This window comes from Homo sapiens, chromosome 2, assembly GCF_000001405.40.
Source record: "Homo sapiens chromosome 2, GRCh38.p14 Primary Assembly".
NCBI lineage: Eukaryota > Metazoa > Chordata > Mammalia > Primates > Hominidae > Homo > Homo sapiens.
This window is the reverse complement of record NC_000002.12, coordinates 38,953,880-38,975,926: the sequence shown is the minus strand read 5'-3', so window position 1 is coordinate 38,975,926 and position 22,047 is coordinate 38,953,880. Positions and strand designations below refer to the sequence as shown.

The window sequence follows — 22,047 nt, the reverse complement described above, 5'->3', positions numbered from 1 at the left end:
CCACCTAGGACTCTGAAAAATATGAGATGGTAGCCAGAAAGAAAGAAAGCCTTACTGGAGAGAGCAAGCCTTGGATGTCACATCAAGAAGTTTGGAATTTCACTGTAGACAAGTAAAAACAGAAGAGTTTCACATAAAGCAATATTTGGGAATACCGTATTAGAGACATGCAGGATAGATGGGAGCAAAGAGTACTTGGAGACAGTTAGAAACCTCAGGAAAACTTCAGGTATCAAGTGATGGGAACTCACCTGGAGAGTAGGCAAGTACGTAGCAGCGTTAATTATTACTAGTTTCATAAGCTAGTTTCATAAAATACAACTCAATTATTTTGGAGTTATGCTACAGATGTAGCATCAAGATTTTTCAGAGGATGCTGCCAAAATAAAATTGGTGAAGTGTGTGATAGTTTTTAAACCTTTCTACTAACTGATCAATTTTAGTGATAAACAGAAGATGAAAGGGAAAAGAATTTTATTATGTTAACATTTTATTTAATAGATTGTGACTTCTGTAGTATTTCACTTTCCACGTCCAGTCGATTTGGCGTTGTGCTTGCAAGCACTGCCGGCCACATAATAAGAGAAAAATCTAATTTCAAATGAATTCATAAACTTCTGGGAAACAAAAATCTTGGCTTAAACTTAGATCCTGGAAACTCAAAAAACTTGGCAGTGATCCTTTATGTGTTCCAGACAACTACTATTCAAAACGCAGTAGGTGAGTTCCTAATTTGTCATCAGACAAGGAGAAGAAAACTTGCAACACTTACATGTGAACCTTTGCCTATTTTATCAACAAACGCTTCAATAGAGGAACAGCTTCTGAAGACACCAGTTTGAGTACCAAGATTTTGAATGAACAGAAACCAAATACCCCTAATTTACTATACCGAACTGCCTGGGAATAAAGACAAATTGTTTAAACCCAATTTTTTTTCTATTATAAATCTGATGTTTGGGGCATATCAAGGATGCTGACCATCTTGCACATATCCATGTGGAAACAGAGCACATTTTATCACCCCAGAGCCAGGCAGGCCTCGTTGCAATCTGATTCCTCTAAGCTTTAAGAGCTTGGTTTCTTTACAAAATAGGAAAACAGTCAAGTGCTGCAATCCTGAATTTTCACTTTGACCTGCTGTTTGTAGCAACTGCTGTGTGTGAGCCATTGAAGTTTTGGTGCTATTGCCACCTTCTTTTCAGGCTGCAGAAAGTCTTTTTAACAAGATGTGGCTAAATCACTGCTTTTTTCCTAGTCCATCTGGTTGTGAGTGTGTGTGACACTCAAGATCACGAGTGGGTCTTGAATACTGAGTACTCAATAAAACACAGACTGGACTGTTTCCATCCTCAGCTCAACCCACACAAGGGAAAATGTTTCTTTGCCTTCCTCTCTCCCCAGTTTCTACAGAAATCCTTGTTCCCTTTACTGATTTCCATAACCACAGAACAAGTTTGGAGATCAATGTGTTTTTAAGCTTTGAACCTTCTGAATCATGGTTTAAGCACAAATTCTCCATAACTCAGATATGCAACATATAAAATACAGTTCTGTTAATTAATCCTTTGCCTTAAGGGATGTTAGATATTGCCTTAGGGTTTTTGGAAGACATGAAGCAAGACAGAACTGGCCCCTAACATAGTGTATATTAGTTTAAGAACACTGGATGAGTTAATAAGTTAAATGCCTAGGAAGCATAAAATTCAAATCCATGTTAAATATGAACATGCTCAGTATTATACTCGGGGAATGACTTCAAGTTGGAAGTTTTCATTCTTACAAACATTTATTTTCCTCCAAATTTATTGTGTTTTTCTGTAATGATGTGAAAAGTCTTCATTTCCCTTTTCCCCAGTGTTGAGGTTCAAAAAGCCAGATCTTAACCAGAAACTAATCTTCATCTCTTCAATGTCTTGTATGTTTAGTTTCATATGTAAGTATTTATATTAGTTTTCCTCAGGGATTTATACATCGATATATATATATATATAGATATAGATATATATATATATTCCTACACAGATATATACAAGCTTTTTATCCTCATCTTACCACTTGACAATACAACTTTAAGTATGTTTTACACAGCTGTTCCTTGGTCAAGGTCATTTGCAAGAGCAAGTCGGTTTCTGAAGAAATCTTGTTTGGTGGGTGAAGGATCCATTGAGGGATTCTCATTAGTTTTTTCCCTGTATTCTGATCCACTGGACCTAAAATCTCAGCACACAGATAAAGTACAGGTTGATTTGGTTTTAATTGTTTTCAAATATTTTTATCTATCCCAATTGTTTTGCATTTGTAAAACAGTTGCTTCCTAGAACTGGAATACTTTTTACTCCCCTGAATTTCATGACTTAGGACATGTGTATCTAAGATTTGCATTGAACATAAAGAGAATATCTTTCTAATGCTTTATGGGGACAATTGTGACAATTGTATATGTCAGTGTAAGATATTGTGTAATAACATCATAATAGGGGAACAAAAGCTCAGAAAATTCAAGAAATCCTGTTTTTGATTCAATGAAGTAACAACTCCACAAATTATCAAGGATCTTAAATTAAAATGGATGGAAATCATGGTTCTCAACCAAGGTTATCAAGGACCTTCACTGAATTTGGCATTACATTACAAACTCTTGCTTGTTTTCATTGTTAAATGAAAGATTTATTGAAGCCAACCACACATATATGCTACATTTGGTAGAATGCAGAAATTCGTACAGTAATCAGATTGCAGAGATACTATAATCTCAACCACCACAAAAGAGACCAAAGCCAATCAATAGTCAACAACTCAGATCAGTCCATTTGAGTCCCCAGTCGAGGGTGCATTCTTCCTTTATCTTGCTTAAGCCACTTGGGTAATCCATTCCAGCTCTGCACCTTCTCCAGTTTTCTCATGTCAGAAGTCCCTGGAGGGAGGAGGCTTTCTGGAAATAACCTCTGATAAGCTAGACTGGGGCCCTTTGGCTAGCTTAAACTCTGACCTAGAATGGGTAAAACTAGTCCAGACACTAAGAACCAATATCAAAAAACCTCATGCAGGGTGTATGAAAGTGATGTTAGACATGAAGTTGCTTGTCCAAAGCTTCTATACAACTGACCAAGTTCTCCATATGCTGAGGCTGTCAGGTATGCTTCCACTATCCACCAAAGAAGGATCCAGGGCCTCCGAGTCCTTGTACTATCATTGGTTTGCTACTGTTGAGTCCTCACTCTTGTTATTAGATAAGTTAATCATGACTATCATTTACTGAATTAATGGGCAGAATTCAAACATCTCTTTACATTATTCAAAGAAAGAAGTTGGATCCACAAAGACTAAAAACCCTAATGTCTGGAAACCTGATGACTGACTAGGTATTTTCACTTTGCCCTCTGATATTCAATATCACAGATGAAGCCATAGCCGCCCACCATGCTTTCTACTTCTGGTTGGTAAGGAACACTTTTCCACTACATCCCAGTGCAGAGAGGAAAAACTACTCTATCTCTCAACTCCAGTACATCTGGATACTCATCAAGCAAGATATCTGGGTGGGATGAGGTTCTCTTCCTTTTCAGGAACCCCCCCGAGTTCTCCCTTGAAAGAGCCTCCACATGGCCCACCCTAAAACTCCGGGCCTTCTCTTGTCTTTCACAGATCCCCCTTACCTCCAGTTCAAATCATCCCTGATGAGTGCAGTTGTGCCCCAAATTTAGGAAGATATATTTTTGACCATCTCATTCTTTCTCTATGTCTTCCATTATTCAGAAGACTAGGAATGCCTATGTTTTAGGGGCAGGAGGTCAGGGGCAGGATTTGAATTGGGCTGCTATTTCTTCTTGTTCCCCCACAGGACAGTTTCTCATCAGAAAGTCATTACTCAAAACTTGAAATCTTTGCCTCGTATTTCCCCTCTTAGCTACATCTGGTCTATCCAAAACCCAACATGTCACACTTTGATGGTTCCAACATGCAACTGTTTAGTGTTTACCTGAAAATAGGAAAGCTTTGATGTCACCACCAGCCCCAAGGACCACAGAAATCTTCACCAGTTGCGTTCCCATTTCTGAAACAAATGCCAAAATCGCCCTGTCTAGTTTTCAAAGTCCATAAACTCAGCTTAAATTTTTTTAACTGCTCTTCTCACAAATTGTACCTTCCCTATGTCTCCAATGTCTGAATTTCTCTGCATTTCTTGATATTAATTAAACTAACAGCTAAATTGCTCATCCTTTTCAAAATCCAGCATTCTACTATAGCCATGACTAAAAGCTCATTTTCATCCTTGTAAAGACCATTTTAACTGACCTCTTTATAACGCTTACATATACGTGGCCACCTGGACTCTTCCAAAGGTGTGGCCATTAGGCTCTGAAGTAGTGCATACCTTGCATACCTAAATTACTAGGAAATAACCTGCAGGATCAAGGAGAAAAGGCCAGCAGATTTGCTTTTATTCCCTTTCTCTATAAAACAAAAATGGCTTTTGAGCTCCTGGAGCCACCGTGGCCGACTGCAGGGCACATCTGAGCAGACATTGTAGGGACAGGCAAACACTCGCTGGGGAAGGGTACCATGGCTGCCAGGACATACTGACACATAACCATCCAAGTATTTGATGGAAAGAGGAAAAGACAACAGACCTGTTGCTAACTTTTCCTTTCACTCAAGTGACAAAGAAAATAGCAAATTCAGTAGGTCATACCAAGTCTAGATTTGCTATAAATAAACCTTTTGTTTGGAGCTGGGGATGGGGGTAGTTGAATCCAGTGCTGCAAAAACCTCTGATTTAAGAAGGCTTGGTTCTCTGATTGGAAAGACTATCCTCCTTGAAAGCTTTAGGAGACATGCATCTGTCTCAAGAAGTAAAGGGGCAAGGAAACACCCATCCTGTTGGCCAGTCAGTCAGCCCTGGTAATCAAAGCAACAGCCCTGTGTGACTCCACCTTTACTTCCACTCAGACAACACTTCAGATTTTAAATACAAAGGACAGCACCAGTATCGTGGAGGCAATCTGATTGATGGAGGAGGGACTGATATATGAGAAAGGACAAGAGGACTAAGGGCATCCACTGGCCCTTTACCTAAGGAGAATTCCAAACAGCTGCAAGAGGACTGACAGCAATTAACCAACATGAGTTTGGAGAGCCCAAAGGAAATGAGCATTCATTTAATAAATATTTGTTGAGTGCCTACTATGTGCTACGTACTATACCTTGTATCAATAGTTAGGTTATCCTTAAATTGATCTGTAAGCTCCTAATGGGCAGGAACTATTTCTCTTACATCTTTTGTGCTGGACAGAACCTAGTACATTGAAGACACTTAATTGAATGGTTGATTTCAAATGGCTTATTGAGAAACATTTGTAATTAAGGTTAAGTAATCTAAAATGTTTACCCCTTCAATTATCCCCTTTAATGTTCAAGTTATATAGGAAATGAAATGGAAAATGAGAGAGAACCCCAAAGTGGGTAAGAGTGGGAGAGGGACTTGAAATGAGCTTTAAGGAGACAGAATAGGTGAGATAAACTTATCAATGGATTCTTTAGCAGCCCTGCTTTCTATTACATGGTCTGTTCAACAGCTGAAGCTGGGCATATACAAAAACTGCTGGGAAGACACCAAAAGAAGAGGATTCACTGAGATAAAATGATTACATACGGGGCCCTGTAGAAGTACTCTCTCTGTGTGTGATTAAGAAAATAGACAGTGATGGGATTAATGGAGGGTGATGATGAGAAGGGAGACACTCTGACACATGTAAATTTTAAAGTGCTAAAGAGGAAGAGAATGAGCGAGGAAGTAGAATTAATCATTTGGAAGCCATATTCCTTATCTTCCACTATCCCAAAATTTAAGGATAAAAAGAGAGAGTACCATCTACATTCCCTACTCCTAAGTTATCTCACGTGATCCTCTTCCCCACTGCCACATCTGCCATCAAGAATACGCGTTAACATTAAGTGTTGCAAGATGTATATATTAAGATGAAGTATCATTTGCCTCAGACTTCACAATAATCTAGGTTTAAGTCTTTGACAGCCTCTGTATAGATCCTTCTAGAATGGGACAGTTTGCCTTCCATCCTGCTCAAAGGCAGGGGAATAAGTATTGGTCTAGCTAACATCAGCCTACCACAGTAAGTCTGTTCCCTCTAAGAATCCTCATTTAAAATGTGTAAAATCACTTAACATTTCCAAACTTTAAGATATGTAGCCTTTATTCTGATCAATTATGGATACCTTTCAGGGACATGTGACCTTGTGTCTGCCCAGGACAAATGTGCCTGAGATGGAAACAATCAGAAGGTCATTCTTTTCCCCAAATATTTTGGGCATTTTTCAGGATTTTTTTAATGATGTCAACTTGACTCTCCCTTTTGAATCCTTGTGGGTATGAGCCTTCGGCCCTCCCAGCCTCAGAGGGAAGAGAACCCTTTCTCAGGTTTTCTGCTGCATCTGGCTCCATGCCTAGCTTCATCCCGAAGCAGCATTCTGGGTGTGTGGGGCCACCAGCCAAACAAGCCCCTATGGAACAAAAAGTGTGTCAGTGTAGACAGGAATAAGCCTCCAGAGGGCTGTGGGGGAGGAAGGTAGCAAGCCCCAGACATGACACAAGTGGCTTTGCTGGCACTGGCCCATTTGGACCTGTGAGGCCAGGCTCTGCAATGGTTCCAGTACTCAGGATTGGCCACTTCTTAAAGTCCCAGGGCTTGCTGCCAGCCTGACCTCCTGACACGCAGGAGGAAAATGGGCTGAATGTCTCTTCTGGTTCCTTCCTATACCTGTCCACAGGCCTGACTTCAGAGTGCAAGTTCCTGTGTAATGGCTGGGACTATGTCGCTCATGGTTCCTATACAAGTGTCTTGCATAGTGCATGCATGTAAGATTGAATGCTTAATTGATGAGAAGAATGGTGTGTTCTCATCTGAGTTAAAAGCCACTGCCCTTCCTGTGCTACACTGGGGCCTCCCTGACCTTCCTCTCTACCTTATAATGGAGCAAATTTTCCATGGTCCTCATATGAAAACACTCAGAAAACGCTACTTAAGCTGCCTCTTCAACCCATGCAAAGTCTCCAAAGTGCCCACTGCAGCACCCTAAGCACCTGATGGTACTGACTGCCCTAGGCCAGATCTAAAAAGCCAGGAAATCCTGCCAGACAGACAGTCTTCTTTGTGGCTCCACCTTTACTTCCACTCAGACAACACTTCGGATTTTAAATACAAAGGACAGCACCAGTATTGGTGGTGGCAACATGATTGATGCAGGAGGGACTGATCTATGAGAAAGGACAAGAGGACTAAGGGAATCCACTGGCTCTTTATCTAAGGAGAATCCCGAACAGCCACAAGAGGACTGACAGCAATTAACCAACATGAACTTGGAGAGCCCATAGCAAGTCCTCTACATTATACCAAGGTCAGTGGGGAGCTACAGAAAGATAAAACCTGGTCTTCTACATGCTAGGGCTTCAAAATTATGGGTCCCAAGGCTTCATTAATTTCTTGTTTCAGGTGATATAAAGATGTGATTACTCAGATCAAGCTACAACAAAGTCAAACTACAGATAAAGCAAATCTCCACACTAGAAAGGACTCTGGTGATTTTTTAAACAATCTCCCACTCCATGCAGGCACCACTTTCATAGCATCCCTGACCAGAGGCATCCCATGAATCCATTCCTTCATGACGCAGCCAGCTCCAGTTCCACGCAGCTGCATTTTTAGGAAATTCTTCCTCTTAGCCACTGCTCCTAGTTCTGCCCTCTGAATCCAGAGAGGACAAATCCACTCCCTCTGCCTCATGTCACTGGCAAAACATTTTCTTACATCTCTCTGATAAATAGGAATTAGTAAAGGGACCAGTGGTGAATCTATTGCTCATTGTTTTCCAATAGACAGCACCCAGTCATTATAAATGACAGTGGGCAAAAAATGGCTGTTTGTTGTGGGAATACTGTGGTTTAAAAAAAAAAAAAAAAAAAAAAAAAAAAGATAGGCTCAAGCTGTGCCCTTAGGATTTTGCAGTCCTTAGAAGGATTCAGGAGTCTGGCCGGGTGCGGTGGCTCACGCCTGTAATCCCAACACTTTGGGAGGCCGAGGCAGATGGATCACTTGAGGTCAGGAGTTCAAGACCAGCCTGGCCAACATGGTGAAATCCTGTCTCTACAAAAAAAAAAAAAAAAAATAGCCAGGGCGTGGTGGCGGGCACCTGTAATCCCAGCTACTCAGGAGGCAGGGGCAGGAGAATAGCCTGAACCTGGGAGGCAGAGGCTGCAGTGAACCGAGATTGCGCCATTGCACTCCAGCCTGGGCAGCAGAGCCAGACTCCGTCTCAAGAAAGATTCAGGAGTCTAAATCAGGGTGGGCTGGAGAGGTGTCTGTTTCCAGGTTCTCCCACCCCTGTCAACTTGACAGATGTTGGCGCTGGGTCAAGAAAGATCTAAGTCTATATGATCCTAGAAAGAGGAATACAATTCTCAACTCTTCAAATCCTGAGTAAGGTGGGTTGAGGATCCAGCAAAGCAGCATGCAAGCATGCACTGGGTTCCTTAGCAAAACTGAGAGAGAATGCAGGGCTATGGCTACATGCAGAGCTGTCGCTCTTCCTTCCTCTTCCCCCTTCTCCAGTAACAACAGGGAGAGACCAACAGTCAGAGGCCCACTAATCTCAGTACCACCCTCCCCACAGGAGGATAATTACAATTAGACAAACCAGCAAAAACAAAGTCCTCACTCCAGGGTTGCCCCCAATTCCTCCATGAGGACCACAGTCTAAATCAGCCAGTGACCTCGACCTTCAAGGAAAAGGTGATTTCCCTGTGCTTCCTCACTTATTGGCAACTCTCCAAAGGCAGCAATAATGCCTCTGTTTAACTTTTCCATCTACTAAAATATGAAGACTTGTTATTTAAAACTGACTGCAAGAACATCCTCCACCAAGAGTAACTAAGCAGCAGGAAAAATCTCTCTAAGGGAGAGGGAGGTAGGCTGAGCCAGTGGAGATTGAAACAGCAGTCTCTCAGGCAGGCAGTGGCTGGACTGGCAGATCCCTCTACAGTCAAATGCTAATGCTCACCTCTCTCTTCCTTACATTTTATGCTGGGGTTTGGCCACTGCCTCCCAGACTGTAAGACAGTGCTGACCAAAATGCCTGTGGGTGATGTTTTACACAACAACGACTTAGAATCTCAGAAGGACCACAGGAGGAAAATGCCTTATTTTTGCCTCCTATGGAATACAGAAACTCCATTAAAGTGATTTCTAACTAGGGCCAAGCCAAATCCACTCATTCAGGGAAAGCACTAACAGAAGTCCTAATAAACATGAATTGGCACCCAGGATGACAACAGGCCCCTAAATGCAGAAGCGCTGAGATCCCTTAGAAAACTTTCCACAGATGGGGAGATCTGATGGAGCACCCATGACACCCAACCCCAATAGTGGATCCCACTCCTCCCAGTCTAAAAGGGCTTTGACTGTCACCAGCTCATTTCTCAAGGGAACCACCTCTGCCCACTCCTCTCAAGACACATGACTTTGGGAACAAGGAAGGAGGGATAAAAGACAGAAGAGGCAGGGCAGAGAGCTGAGTTTGCTTCTACTCTGGGATATTACAATGAGAAACATCTTCACCCCGCCGGAACTGTGGCTACTGGGTGCAGGCACTGTACTTGAAGCAGTTGTGTGAGACCAGGCTACTTGATACTTATTATTGTTAAAACCTCAAGATTTAGCCCAAAGGGAAATGAGTTACAATGCTGTCTTGTCTAAGGGCTACTCACTTCTTTTTAAAGAGCTTGCGGAAGGAGCTGCGAAAGCCCCCCTTCTGGTCTTGCCTGGGATTTTGATCGCTGAAAGATGTTTGTTCACTTTCTCTTTCTTCTTTGGGACAGAATCTGGTAGTATCTTCTAAATGCATCTCCTGGAAACAAAAAAGAGGGATTTTTTTCTTTACTCCTTCCAATGTTATTATGGATCCTGACTATGGGACAATTTTGTGGTGTTGTGACTTTCCTCTCCCATGCCAAAAGACTACCAGTGGGCACCCAATCCCAACTAAAGCAAACCTAGGCTAATGAAGAAACCAGCAGGCGAAAAGAGGATAATTTCCTGCTGAGTGTAGTATTTTCTATGTATCAAGGCAAATAGTCTAGTGTAATATATAACAATAATTAAAGATAAGGAAATAAAGAACATTAGCTAATGTTTAAAAAGTGGACTTTAAAAGAAGACTGCAAGAACGTCCTCCACGAGTGAATAAATTATTATTTTGACACCAACACTGTCGTGCTAGAAAACCAGTAGCAGTCCCCTCTTATCTCCAGGTGTTTCTCTTTCTACAAAATAAGGATGTTCCTTACTTGTAATGCTAGTTTTAAACTCATGTTCCTAACTCTCCATTTTAAGCATAATCGAGGGAAGGCATTTTTGAGAAGTCAGACCTGTTTAGAAGTAAATGTCAACTAATACTTTCAACCTGAAAATATGCCTGTAATACAGTTTTTACAATTCTTAACCCATGCTATTTGGAGTATAAAGTAAAATAAGTTAAAAATAAGGCTGTATCTTTTGTGACCTCTCTAGTTTTTTCTAAGTGTGAGATGTGCTAAATAGAAGTGCATGTATATTTATATGCATACAAGCCAGATATGCACTTATATACATGTTTATATTCCATACGAACAAAGTATTTACCTTGAGGTGACTATAATTTAAGAGCAACTTTAAAAACAGCTGCTGAATTTTGAATAACCTTTAGAGAACCCCAAGAAGTCAAAGCAAAAACCACACCAATGATGCCCTAAAAGTCTCATGAATTAGATAGGTGACTGCTTGCTGACAGAGAAGCAAAGTGTTAGGGTGGATTTTTTTTTTTTTCGGGAAACATATGGGTCTGACTTTGAGAACTGGGGGTTGCAGATACAGAAATTCTCTGAGATTCTACTAAGATTCATAACTAGACCATGGAGCTAGACATGCAGTGTTTCTTAAAGTGCGGTCCTGTGACTACAGGATCAGGTTGGGCCTTTATTTAAAATGTAGCTTCTTGAGCCCCATCCCAGACTTTGTGAATCAGAATCTCTGCAGTTAGGCCTAGGTAATCCTTACGCACACTTAGATTTGAAAACGAATGATTTAAGGGAGGGTTCCCCAACTCCCAGTACTAGTCTGTGACCTGTTAGGAACTGGGCCACACAGCAGAAGGTGAGCAGTGGGGTGGGTGAGCAAGCGAAGCTTCATCTGTATTTATAGCCGCTCCCCATTGCCTGCATTACTACCTGAGCTCCACCTTCTGTCAGATCAGCAGTGGCATTAGATTTTCATAGGTGCACAAACCCTATTGTGAAATGCACATGCAAGGGATCTAGGATGCGCACTCCTTGTGAGAATCTAATGCCTGATGATCTGAGGTGGAGCTGAGACAATGATGCTAATGCTGGGGAGTGGCTGCAAATACAGATTAACATTAGCAGAGAGGTTAGACTGCACAGAGACCATAATAAATCAATTGCTTGCAGACTCATATCAAAACCCTATCAGTAAGTGGCAAGTGACAATTAAGCTGCATCTGGTGGCAGTCTTTACAGTTGCAAGTGAGTTGATGAACTTCAATGGTACAGCTGCATCTGGTGGCCTTAAAAGTAGGTTTGAGATAATTTCAAATCTCCATACGTTCTGGATTAAAGTCAAGGCAGAATATCATGAGACTGCCACAAAGCACTGAAAAGCCTGCTTCCATTTCCAGCATCCCATCTTTGTGAAGCAGGGTTTTCTGCAGTGACAGCAACCAAAATGAGATTACAGAGTAGATTGGACATAAGTGACACACTTCAGGTGTCACTCTCACCCATCACCCCCAGATGGGACCGTCTAGTTGCAGGAAAACAAACTCAGGGCTCCCACTGATCCTAGATTATGGTGAGTTGTATAATTATTTCATTATATATTACAACGTAATAATAACAGAAATAAAGTACACAATAAATTGTAACGCACTTGAATCATCTCAAAACCACCTCCCCCTCCGCAGTCTGTGGAAAAATTGCCTTTCCCAAAACTGGTCCCTGGTGCCAAAAAAGTCGGGGACCACTGACTTAAGGCATGCTTCTGCCCACCTACACTTAATGTTTATATCAATCACCGCGAATGATCCTAAATTCTGATTCAGTAGGTCTGGGGTGCAAATTCTGCATCTATAACAAGTTCCCAGGCAATGCATTTGCTAATACCCCCATATTTTGAGAAATGGGCTTTTAGAGACTATTTAGTGACTAAATCTATTAATGGTTTAAGGAAAATCGTTCTATGGAACCATGATCTCAATAGCATTTCATACTTTATAAAGCCTACTCAAAAATTGTATCTTCTTTGGCCTGATCCTCCCAACAACCCTGTGAGATAGGTTGTTTTATTTTGAGACAACTGGAGGCACAGAGAAGCCAAGTGACTTGTCCAAAAGCACACAGCTACTGTGCAGCAGAGCCAGGACTAGAACCTAGAGCTCCTGACAGTCACGTGTTCTCACTAGAGCATACCATCTTCTTTCTTGACTCTAAAAGAGACAAAACACTAAAGACTAGGTCTCGGCTAGCTCTGCTGGGCTGGGTGAAAGATATACAGAGTATTTAAAGGGAAGAAACACTAGGAGTTTTGCACATCTCAAAAGCAAAGAGTTGATACCTTTAAGGATAGAGCTTTTAAGGGGTTTATCTTTTGCAACTAAAACACCATTCCACCATCACCTCCAACACACACAAACATGCATATATATACTTAGACATGCAGACGTGCACATACATGCCCATGCACATATGTATACCCACATGGTCTCTGCCCACCTGCACTCTGCATGCTACCTCTCTCTAGGACTTCTAATAACCAGGGCCTTTTTTTTTTTTTTTTTGAGACAGAGTCTCACACTTTCTCCCAGGCTGGAGTGCAGTGATGCGATCTCGGCTCCCTGCAAGCTCCACCTCCCGGGTTCACGCCATTCTCTCGCCTCAGCCTCCTGAGTAGCTGGGACTACAGGTGCTCACCACCATGCCCGGCTAATTTTTTTTTTTTTTTTTTTTTTTTTGTAGAGACGGGGTTTCACCGTGTTGACCAGGATGGTCTTGATCTCCTGACCTCATGATCCGCCCACCTCGGCCTCCCAAAGTGCTAGGATTACGGGCGTGAGCCACCGCACCCGGCCACAACCAGGGCCTTTTAAGTTTTTAGAAAGAAAAATTGTGTCTAGAAACAGAAATAAGTAATGGGAACTTTGCATGCTTGAAAATTTTAATGATATTGCTAGAGAAAATGCCTCTTTTAACTGACTTCCATTTGCAATTTCCTTGGTATCTCATTTTGAACTGACTTGACGCATGTCTTACACTGTTAGGAGATGAAACTTGCTGGCCAGTATGTGCAATTAACGGTTCCTGATACACTGTTATTGTTATTTGGTATGTCTGGTAAACAGCCACAAATATATTACTCATTGTTTGCTTCTCAGATATATTTCTGATTAATGGTTTTTGCCTTACAATTGTTGAACCCCAAATTTTTCACAAATCAACTACAAAAGGACATTGTTATTACATACGAAATAAAAGTTCTTTACAGTACAGACTATACTAGTTAGAAGGTTTTGTATGTAAACCTCTGCTTATCCCAAGTCACACTGAATTGGCACTATAATTTCCATTTACTTCCCCTTTCAATAAACTTCTAAACTCTGACACATGCCTAAGATTGATTTCTCCAAGAAATTCTGCCTAATCAAATTTTACAAAGCTTGGGGTTGAAAATCAGAGCTAGAGGAAAATCTGAGAACCCCAGGGAACCTCAGCAGCTTTAGCTGAGCACACTATTACATGTTTTTGTCCTCTGCAGGGACCAGACACAGACTTTCACTGCTGGAGTGCAGGTGGGCAGCAAGCTCCAAGGCTCTTCATGATCCCGCCCCTTCCTGTTCCTCTGGCCTAATTTCCACCACTTTGACATGGCACAGTATGCCAGAGAAAAGGCATCACCATGCTTTTCTCACGCTTCCCTACCTCACTCTTCCCCTAGCCAACTTCTAGGCAGCTTTTACAATCTAATTCGGACATTCAACTTATCTAGGAGGCCTTCTCTGACCACCATGACCCCAAAGGTTTTAAATATCCTTCCCATGTGCTCCCACAGTTTATTACATAATTCTGTGTTCCTGTGTCTCCTTCCTGTACTAAGCCAGTGGTCCCGGAGGATAGAGACTGGTTTATTTCTGAATTTTCAGCAATTAGCACAGAGCCTGGTACAAGACAAGAACTCAGTGTTTGCTGAAAAATTAATGAATGAGAAAAGTCAGTGTCATCACTGTTTCCATTCGAAAATGAGAATAGTTGGAACGGAAGGGTGGTCGCACAGGTCAGAACTATCATGTTACTTATGCTCTGCTTAATCAGATCAGAGCAATTATTTGCTCAGAAACTATTAGCACTTCATGGATAAGTATTTAAAGACCTCTTTAAATGCCCTCCAGGCTTGCAGACACCACAATTAGACACCAAAATATCAAACACCTGTAGACCTGCAGACACAGGGGTTGGCCATCAGAATACCTCAACATTCACTGAGGCCAAAGAAGGTTTCTATTTTGGGATGTCCCTGACCCAATAGAGTTTGCAAATTAATAGGACACTCTTTTCCAGTCAAAAGAAAAGCAAGCAGAAATAAAGCTGGCTTTGCAGCAAATTGCGCAGCGAGTCTACCTTGAGCTAGGGCAACTTGCCTCCTCCCTAGCTACAAGCAAGAATGCTGCCGGGAAGAAGTGGAGTAGGCTGGCGCACCGTGTTCCATATTCTCAACATAGAAACGACACCTCACAGACAGAAGAAACACACTGGCCCGGGACCTGCGTGCGGGGCTCTGAAAAAAGTGCAACTCTTCACATAAGCAGGAAGAGATTACCCATAACTCCCTAAATGCGTGTGTGTTAATCAGGTCTAAAGAGTGGCGGGCTTCTCTGCTACCTCTGCCATCCCTCGTGTACCATATGAGGCAAGCTCTTTGGGTCCTGGTACTGGAGAACAGGCGCTGCCACTCGCCTTCCAGGGCCCAGCAGCCTACAGCTCGCAGGGCGCGGGGGCTGCCCCTGCTCTCCCTCCGCCTCCACCCGCCGACGGCTCGCGCAGCCGCCCCCTAGCCTGGCCCGGCCCCGCTCCTCTCCACGCTAGGAGAACTCGGGATGCTTCCTGCAGATCTAGGCCTGGGGCCGTCGACGCTGTGGGTTTCGGTTCGGTTTTACTTTACCCTCCTTACTTCCAAATAGGTCTGTTTTTCGCTTTGGGACCTCTGTTGGGGGAAGAAGGTCCTGGATGCGCCGCGGGCGGCGACGGCGGCGGCGGCCGGGCCGTGCGCCTGCGCGGCGCGCTCGGCCTTGATGGGCGCGCGGCCGCCGCTGCTGCTGCGCGTGCTGTAGAGGCGTGGGGCCACGCCGTCGGCTGGCGGCGCACGCGGGAACTCTTTGAGAGAGCGGCTCAGCGGCTTGGCCTTGCCGTGCGCCTGCGCCGCCGCCTCCAGTTTGTAGGCGCTGCTGCTGCCCGCCGGCGACGTAGCGCTCTTGGGCAGCGGCTGCAGCGGGTGCTCCGGCCGCTCGGCCTCCATGGCGAAGCTGACGGGCCGCAGGAAGCAGATGTCCAGGCTGGACTCGGAGGAGGCAGGCGAGCAGTTCTCGAAGAGGGCCGGAGCCTGGAACGGCTCCTCGTCGTAGGGCGCGGGCAGCGCGAAGATCTCGCCGCCGTACTCGAACTCTTCGTAGGCCGCGGGCACGAAGCCGCGGGCATCGGGCAGGAGCTCGGCCGGGGCGCGCAGGGAGCGCTCCACGTTGCCCAGCGGCTCCGCCGGAGAGGACTCGAAGTCCATCTCCGGGATGGCCTGCAGGGGCCCGGCCAGCGCCTTCACGTCCTGCTCGGCCGCGCAGAACTGCGTCGGTGCCAGAAGGCTCTCGGGCCGCTCGTGCTTCCTGCCCTCCAGCTCCCAGTCACTGGGCTTCCCGGGCTGCATGCTCTCCATCAGGCTTTGCTGCTGTTGGCTTTTCTTCACTGGGGGCATCAGATGTCTTTAGGGGGAAAACAGAGTACAAAAGAGCTGTGCTTACGGCCGGTTAGTGCAGGCCTCTCGCCTGCCGGCGCCCCTCGGGGCCGCGCTCCGAGGCGCCTGTGCATGCCACCTCCCGAGCTCCACAAACTTCCACTAAGGCGCTCCCACGAACCCCCGTTCCCAGGCGGAGAGTGGACAAGGCAGTCCGTCGAGCGGAGGCCCGAAGGTATTGTCTGAGCTTCTGGGAAATGGCCTGCGGGCCAGGGACTGTCATCACCCCGCGTGGAAGCCCTGACCCTCCTCACCACCTGCGGTGCTCCAAGGCACACCTTCAACTCTCTTCTCTCCCTTGCTTGCCCTAGCAGAGTCATACGGAATAATGGAAAACTCAACTTCTGTTCGACTTGTGGATCTTCACACTCAGAAACAAATTACGTTCCTAGATAAAGTAAACGTGGCATGATCTTGATAACTGTTGAATCTGGATGAGGGCATGTGGAGTTCACTGAACTCTTCTATGTAAATTTGAAATTTTCATAATAAAAATTTTAAAATATTCCTTGTCACTGTAAAGCATGCTATATAATTAATCTCAAACTTCCACCCACAAAGAATTACCAACATGTAAAAGCTGTCACTCGATATGCCCAATTTCATGGAGGGTTTTTGGTTTTGGAGTCATGGGTAATGGATAATTTACACAGTTTACAAACTAGGATAGGGTACCATCAGATGGGATGTCCAGTTGTTCTGGACTTAAATTGACAGATGTAAGTGGACACTGACCAGAAGTGGTTATTCTGCTAGTTTATGTATTCATATTTTAATTCTACCACAAAAATGCATAAAGACTTCGGGAGGCCGAGGCAGACGGATCGCCTGAGGTCAGGAGTTTGAGACCAGCCTGGCCAACATGGTAAAACCCCGTCTCTACTAAAAGTACAAAAATTAGCCGGGCATGGTGGCAGCCTGGCCAACATGGTAAAACCCTGTCTCTACTAAGTACAAAAATTAGCCGGGCATGGTGGCAGGTGCCTGTAATCCCAGCTAGTCGGGAGGCTGAGGCAGGAGAATCCCTTGAACCTGGGAGGCGGAGGTTGCAGTGAGCTGAGATCATGCCATTGTACCTCGGTCTCAAAAAAAAATAAAAACAATGCAAATATAAATGCTAAAACCAATATCTTACTCTGGTGGTCTGAAAATGAAAATTAGGTCTCACGTTAACATGTGAAAGAGTGAAACAAAATATTGACCTCATTTGAATTCTCTTTTAACTTGGAAGAAAGATTGGGGGTTTTATTTTCCATACGCAGAGTGCAGTGGCAGCCATATTGTTGAGTCTGGGTATAATCTCTAGGGGTTTCATATTTTGGCTCTATTTGTTGCATTTCAAAGAAGATGAAGTTTTGTAACTGCTTCAAGAGTTGAAGTGATCCATGAAGTAAATATCTACTTTCTGCCTCTCTTCCCACTTTCTACACCTGTCCCTTAACATTAGTGCCTTCCTCTGGGACCCAAGAATCGGGTTGGCTGCTTGGTTGGCACATATAGGCCTGATGGGGAAAGGGGATGGAGGAATCTAGGCTGCCCTGCTAACCCGCACAGACTGGCTGGGTCCCAAAGGCATTGGCATTAACCTTCCCACAGCAACAGGTGCTTACGTGATGGCAGGGCCAGAACTGGGAGCAGAAGGGTAGGGTTGCAGCAACTCTTCTGAGTGGATCCCAGTGTCACGGACAGCCTCAGGACCTGCAGTGGGGGAAGCATCTTGCCCAGCATTGGCACACTGGGAAGCCAGCCCTTTGTACAGCTTCGCCATGGATGACCTAACAGAATGGAAATAACAGTTCTCAGGTTGTACAGTGGCAAACTGGCTCTCTGAACACATATTATGCCAAAAAAGATAGAGAGATGTCTCAGATAAAGTTTGCTGTGAAGGTCTCTATCTCCAGGGGCCTTTGCAAACTAAGTTGCTTTGCTTAATAGGGTGCAAGCTGGCAGGACTAGGGAAGCTGATTCACTGGCTGAAAAGAGCTTGGGGGAAGGGGTTGGGGGTATGGAGAGACAGCTTCCATAACAGGAACCCTGGCTTGGGAGACAGCATCTTTTTCTGGTCTGCGGCTTCCACAGAAATGGTTGTTCTCCTCCACAGGAGTTGGGATGAAATTGAAGGAAATCCAGGTCATTAGGAAGCTGTGCTGTGGGTTGCTTCTGTTCCCTCCGAAGCTCAGATCCTCCCTAATCCACACTTCCTATTTCTCCCTAATATAAAACCTATCTGAAATTCCTCTCCCTTATTTGCTTTATTTTTATCCATATCACATATCACCATCTTATTTATTTGTTCACTGTCCAACTCTAAAAAGGAAACTCCATGTGGCAAAGATTTGGTTGGGGCCATTTTGTTCCTTTCACTATATTCAGTGCATGGAACAGTGCCTGACACACAATAGGTGCTCAATAAATATCTGTTGAATTAATAAAGAAAACTATGTTGTGGTCTTTTAACTGCAGTTTTGAACCAGGCAAGTTTAGGGCAGTTGAACTATTTTTGAGGTGGTTAGCAACATGGGATGAGAGGGGGTCTATGTAAGCAGTAGAGTGAAGTGTTTTTTTTGCTAAAATAATTTCCACTGGGTAGTCAGTGTCTTGCTCCTATAACCAGTCTGACTAGCTCTTTCTCTCCCCTTCTCTCTTTCCTTCTACCTCCCACCACTGCATTTCAGGTACTTAACACACAACGTGGTTACTTGTGAAAGACACCCATAGTAACTGGTCTTCGACCCTCTAGACCACACCATCAGAACCTTACTTCTTGAGCTTTTTCCGTTTCTGAATAAGCAAATCTTCATTGCATTGAAACAGCAGGGTGTAGTGTGAGATAAATACTCGGAGGCGCTGGACACACACCAGTAGTAGATAATAGTCAGGGTGCTCCTGCTCTGTGAACTTCAGGACGTTCTGGATGGAGGGGAAAAGGAAGTAGCATTGCATAATCAGCATGAAAATTTGTTTTTTCTCTTCTGCACCTCACCTTGATCTATTGTGGGAGATTCATAGCCATTTAATCAAAACAATGAACAATACACATGACCCCCATCTAATTATACGCTGAAAGGTCAAACTGGCTGCTCTCTATCATACCAACGGAAAATAAGTCACTATCGTACCTGTTTGAGTTGAATGTGAACATAAAATAATTTCATCTGAAAAGTTAGAAGCATCTCCTAATTGGACCTCTGAAATAATAGCGGCATTCTAACAATTACTGTCTATAAGTAGTGCCTTAACTCAAAAGAGCCAGACCAATGATGAGAACGTCAGGCATCAAGGCAGGCAAGGGAGGGGGATGTTTATGATCAAGCCTGGTGGCCCCTTCTGTTACATTCCCCGCTGTGCTGTAGTGGAACATGCCTAGGACTTGGATTTGGGAAAGCTAAAATGTATCGAGTACTTCCTATTGCCAGGTAGTAAGCCCTTTATGTATATTATCTCATTTAATTGTTACCGCAACGTGCTTAAATAGGTACCATTATAAACTCCATTTAACAAGTAAGGAAATCGAGGTACGAAGAAGGTAAATGATCTTCATCAGGTCACACATCTAGTAAATAATGGAGGCAAGATTTGAACTCAAGTCAGAGAGTAGAACCAGGGCTTGTTTGCCATATTCTACTATTTGCAAAACCTGGGTTTCAGTCCTAGTTTTTTTTACCTACTAGGTGTGTTAACTTGGGTAAATTGTTAACTTATTTGGCCCTGCATTTTCTCTTGTAAAACATGACAACAATAATACCTATTTCATGGGATTGTTGAAAGGATTAAATAAGATCATTATTGTGAGAAAATGCTTTTAGGATCTAAAGCTATATACAGTTGAAAGTCTTTTCAGGGCACGGGTGGTGGCTCACACCTGTCATCCCAGCACTTTGGGAGGTGAGGCGGGCAGATCACCAGGAGATCGAGACCATCCTGGCTAACACGGTGAAACCCCATCTCCACTAAAAACACAAAAATTAGCCGGGTGTGGTGGTGGGCGCCTGTAGTCCCAGCTACTCCGGAGGCTGAAGCAGGAAAATGGCATGAACCCGGGAGGCGGAGGTTGCAGTGAGCTGAGATCATGCCACTGCACTCCAGCCTGGGCGACAGAGTGAGACTCCATCTCAAAAAATAAAAATAAATAAATAAATAAATAAGCCAGGCATGGTGGCAAGTGCCTGTAGTCTCAACTACTCAGGAGGCCGAGGTGGGAGCATTGCTTGAGCCTGGGAGGTTGATGCTGCAGTGAGCCAAGATCAAGCCAAGATCACACCACTGCACTCCAGCCTGAGCAACAGAGCCAGACCCTGACTCAAAAAAAAAAAAAAAAAAAAAAAAAGTCTTTTCAATATTGATGCTTTGATACTGGACTACTGGACTACTTCTACCTGAAATTAATCCCAAGCATTTCTAAGACGCTTTCATTGAATTACTTAAGAAGATCAGTCAGCAATTAAACCAGAACAGGTGGGTGGTGGGAAGAAGAGGGTCTGGTGGGGGTTAGTGAACCTCTCTTTCAACTCTTCTTCCTCCAGGATATCACAAGTCCTGCAGGAAATTGGTGTGAAGACATCAGCTCATCATCTTCATGCCTCTTCTGTGACATAAAGCTTAAGCATGGCATGGTAGAACCTTGGACCAATGCCAAAAGAAAGTAGTCAGGATAGCAGTTAAGTGAACAGGTTAGATGGATATTTAGATGTCAGGTGGTGGCATTTAGATAGCTGTAAAAACCAAAATGGAAAGAACTGGATGAGGTGCTTAGAATCTAGCAGGAGTGGTTCTAGAAAGATCCTGGATCAGCTGAGGTGGAAGTTGCTGGTAAGTAAAGATAGAACTTCAGAGGTAAGCATCATGAGCTGAAAATTTTTAGAAATAAAGATTTTAGGCTGGCTGCAGCGGCTCACACCTGTAATCCCACCACTTTGGGAGGCTGAGGCGGGCAGATCACTTGAGGTCAGGAGTTCAAGACCAGCCTGGCCAACATGGTGAAACCCCATCTCTACTAAAAATACAAAAATTAGCTGGGCATGGTGGCACATGCCTGTAGTCCCAGCTACTCGGGAGGCTGATGCAGGAGAGTCACTTGAACCCAGGAGGCAGAGGTTGCAGTGAGCCTAGATCACACCACTGTACTCCAGCCTGGGTGACAGAGCAAGACTCTGTCTCAAAAAAAAAAAAAAAAAAGGTTTTAGCTCATACCACAGGGTATTATGGGTTATCAGGTAATCATAACAATCTAAATAAACACTTCTTAGAAATATTAATGATTCTTGAGGCTTTACAGTATTTCTCAGTTGGGAGCCAAAACCAATAATTACTTAGCATGCAAATCAGTTTGGTGGCTTTCCCACCCATGCCTACCTGCAGATGTATCAGATATTCAGGGATGCGCTGGACTATGTGAAAAAACAACGTGTAGATGTCAGATTTAATCTCTTCATCACCCTGAATGAAAGAAAGGTCAAGTTACTCTTCAGTGTTCCTCCAGCTGTGGCAGCAGAACCTCGAATCAGTCCCACCAGGGTAGGAAGGGTTTCCTCCCAGAGCATTTTCTTCCCAGAGATTGTCATAGAGCATTGCTGTCTCATAGGAGAGGCCACATGTTCAGGGACATGCCCTAGGAGACAGCTCTTCTCCCTCAGGGAGCATATCATATACTTATTTTGAATCCACCCAAATTTCCAAACTACCCTCTCCTTCCACTCAGCGCAGTTCCAGACAGAAGCGGGCACTCAATGAACTATATTTTAGCTGAATTAATTCATTAAGACTCTCCAGCAAGTAATCATGACAATGGTGTAGTAACAGGCTCTAAGGGAGACTTGGCGCTTCAGGACAATGGAAAAGGGAGTGTCATTAGAACCTAGTTAGCTGGCCTGGCCGCAGAAAACATGCTGCACTTTCTCTGTGTCCCTTCCTTTTCCTTCTCTTCTCTTTC

At 43.9% G+C, this 22,047-nt stretch overlaps 1 protein-coding gene and 1 long non-coding RNA gene across 3 annotated transcripts in view; one reads left to right on the top strand and one right to left on the bottom strand.

Moving 5' to 3' along the window:
- Positions 1-472: 472 nt before the first annotated feature.
- ARHGEF33 (Rho guanine nucleotide exchange factor 33) overlaps positions 473-22,047 on the bottom strand; it is an 85,580-nt gene continuing 64,005 nt past the window's right edge. Inside the window, exons 13-19 of one of the 2 annotated variants that reach the window (NM_001367623.3) lie at positions 21,471-21,554; positions 18,880-19,028; positions 17,729-17,893; positions 15,279-16,086; positions 9,782-9,921; positions 3,983-4,057; positions 473-2,917 (exon numbers count right to left, since the gene is read on the bottom strand). In NM_001367623.3, the coding sequence (NP_001354552.1) occupies positions 4,006-4,057; positions 9,782-9,921; positions 15,279-16,086; positions 17,729-17,893; positions 18,880-19,028; positions 21,471-21,554 (1,398 nt within the window). In that variant the 3' untranslated portion in view covers positions 473-2,917; positions 3,983-4,005. The remainder of the gene's footprint in view (positions 2,918-3,982; positions 4,058-9,781; positions 9,922-15,278; positions 16,087-17,728; positions 17,894-18,879; positions 19,029-21,470; positions 21,555-22,047) is intronic. The other variant, NM_001145451.5, reaches the window with a different exon arrangement.
- On the top strand, positions 15,583-16,640 carry LOC375196 (uncharacterized). Its single transcript, NR_028386.1, has one exon. It is a non-coding gene; the product is annotated as an uncharacterized LOC375196 (long non-coding RNA).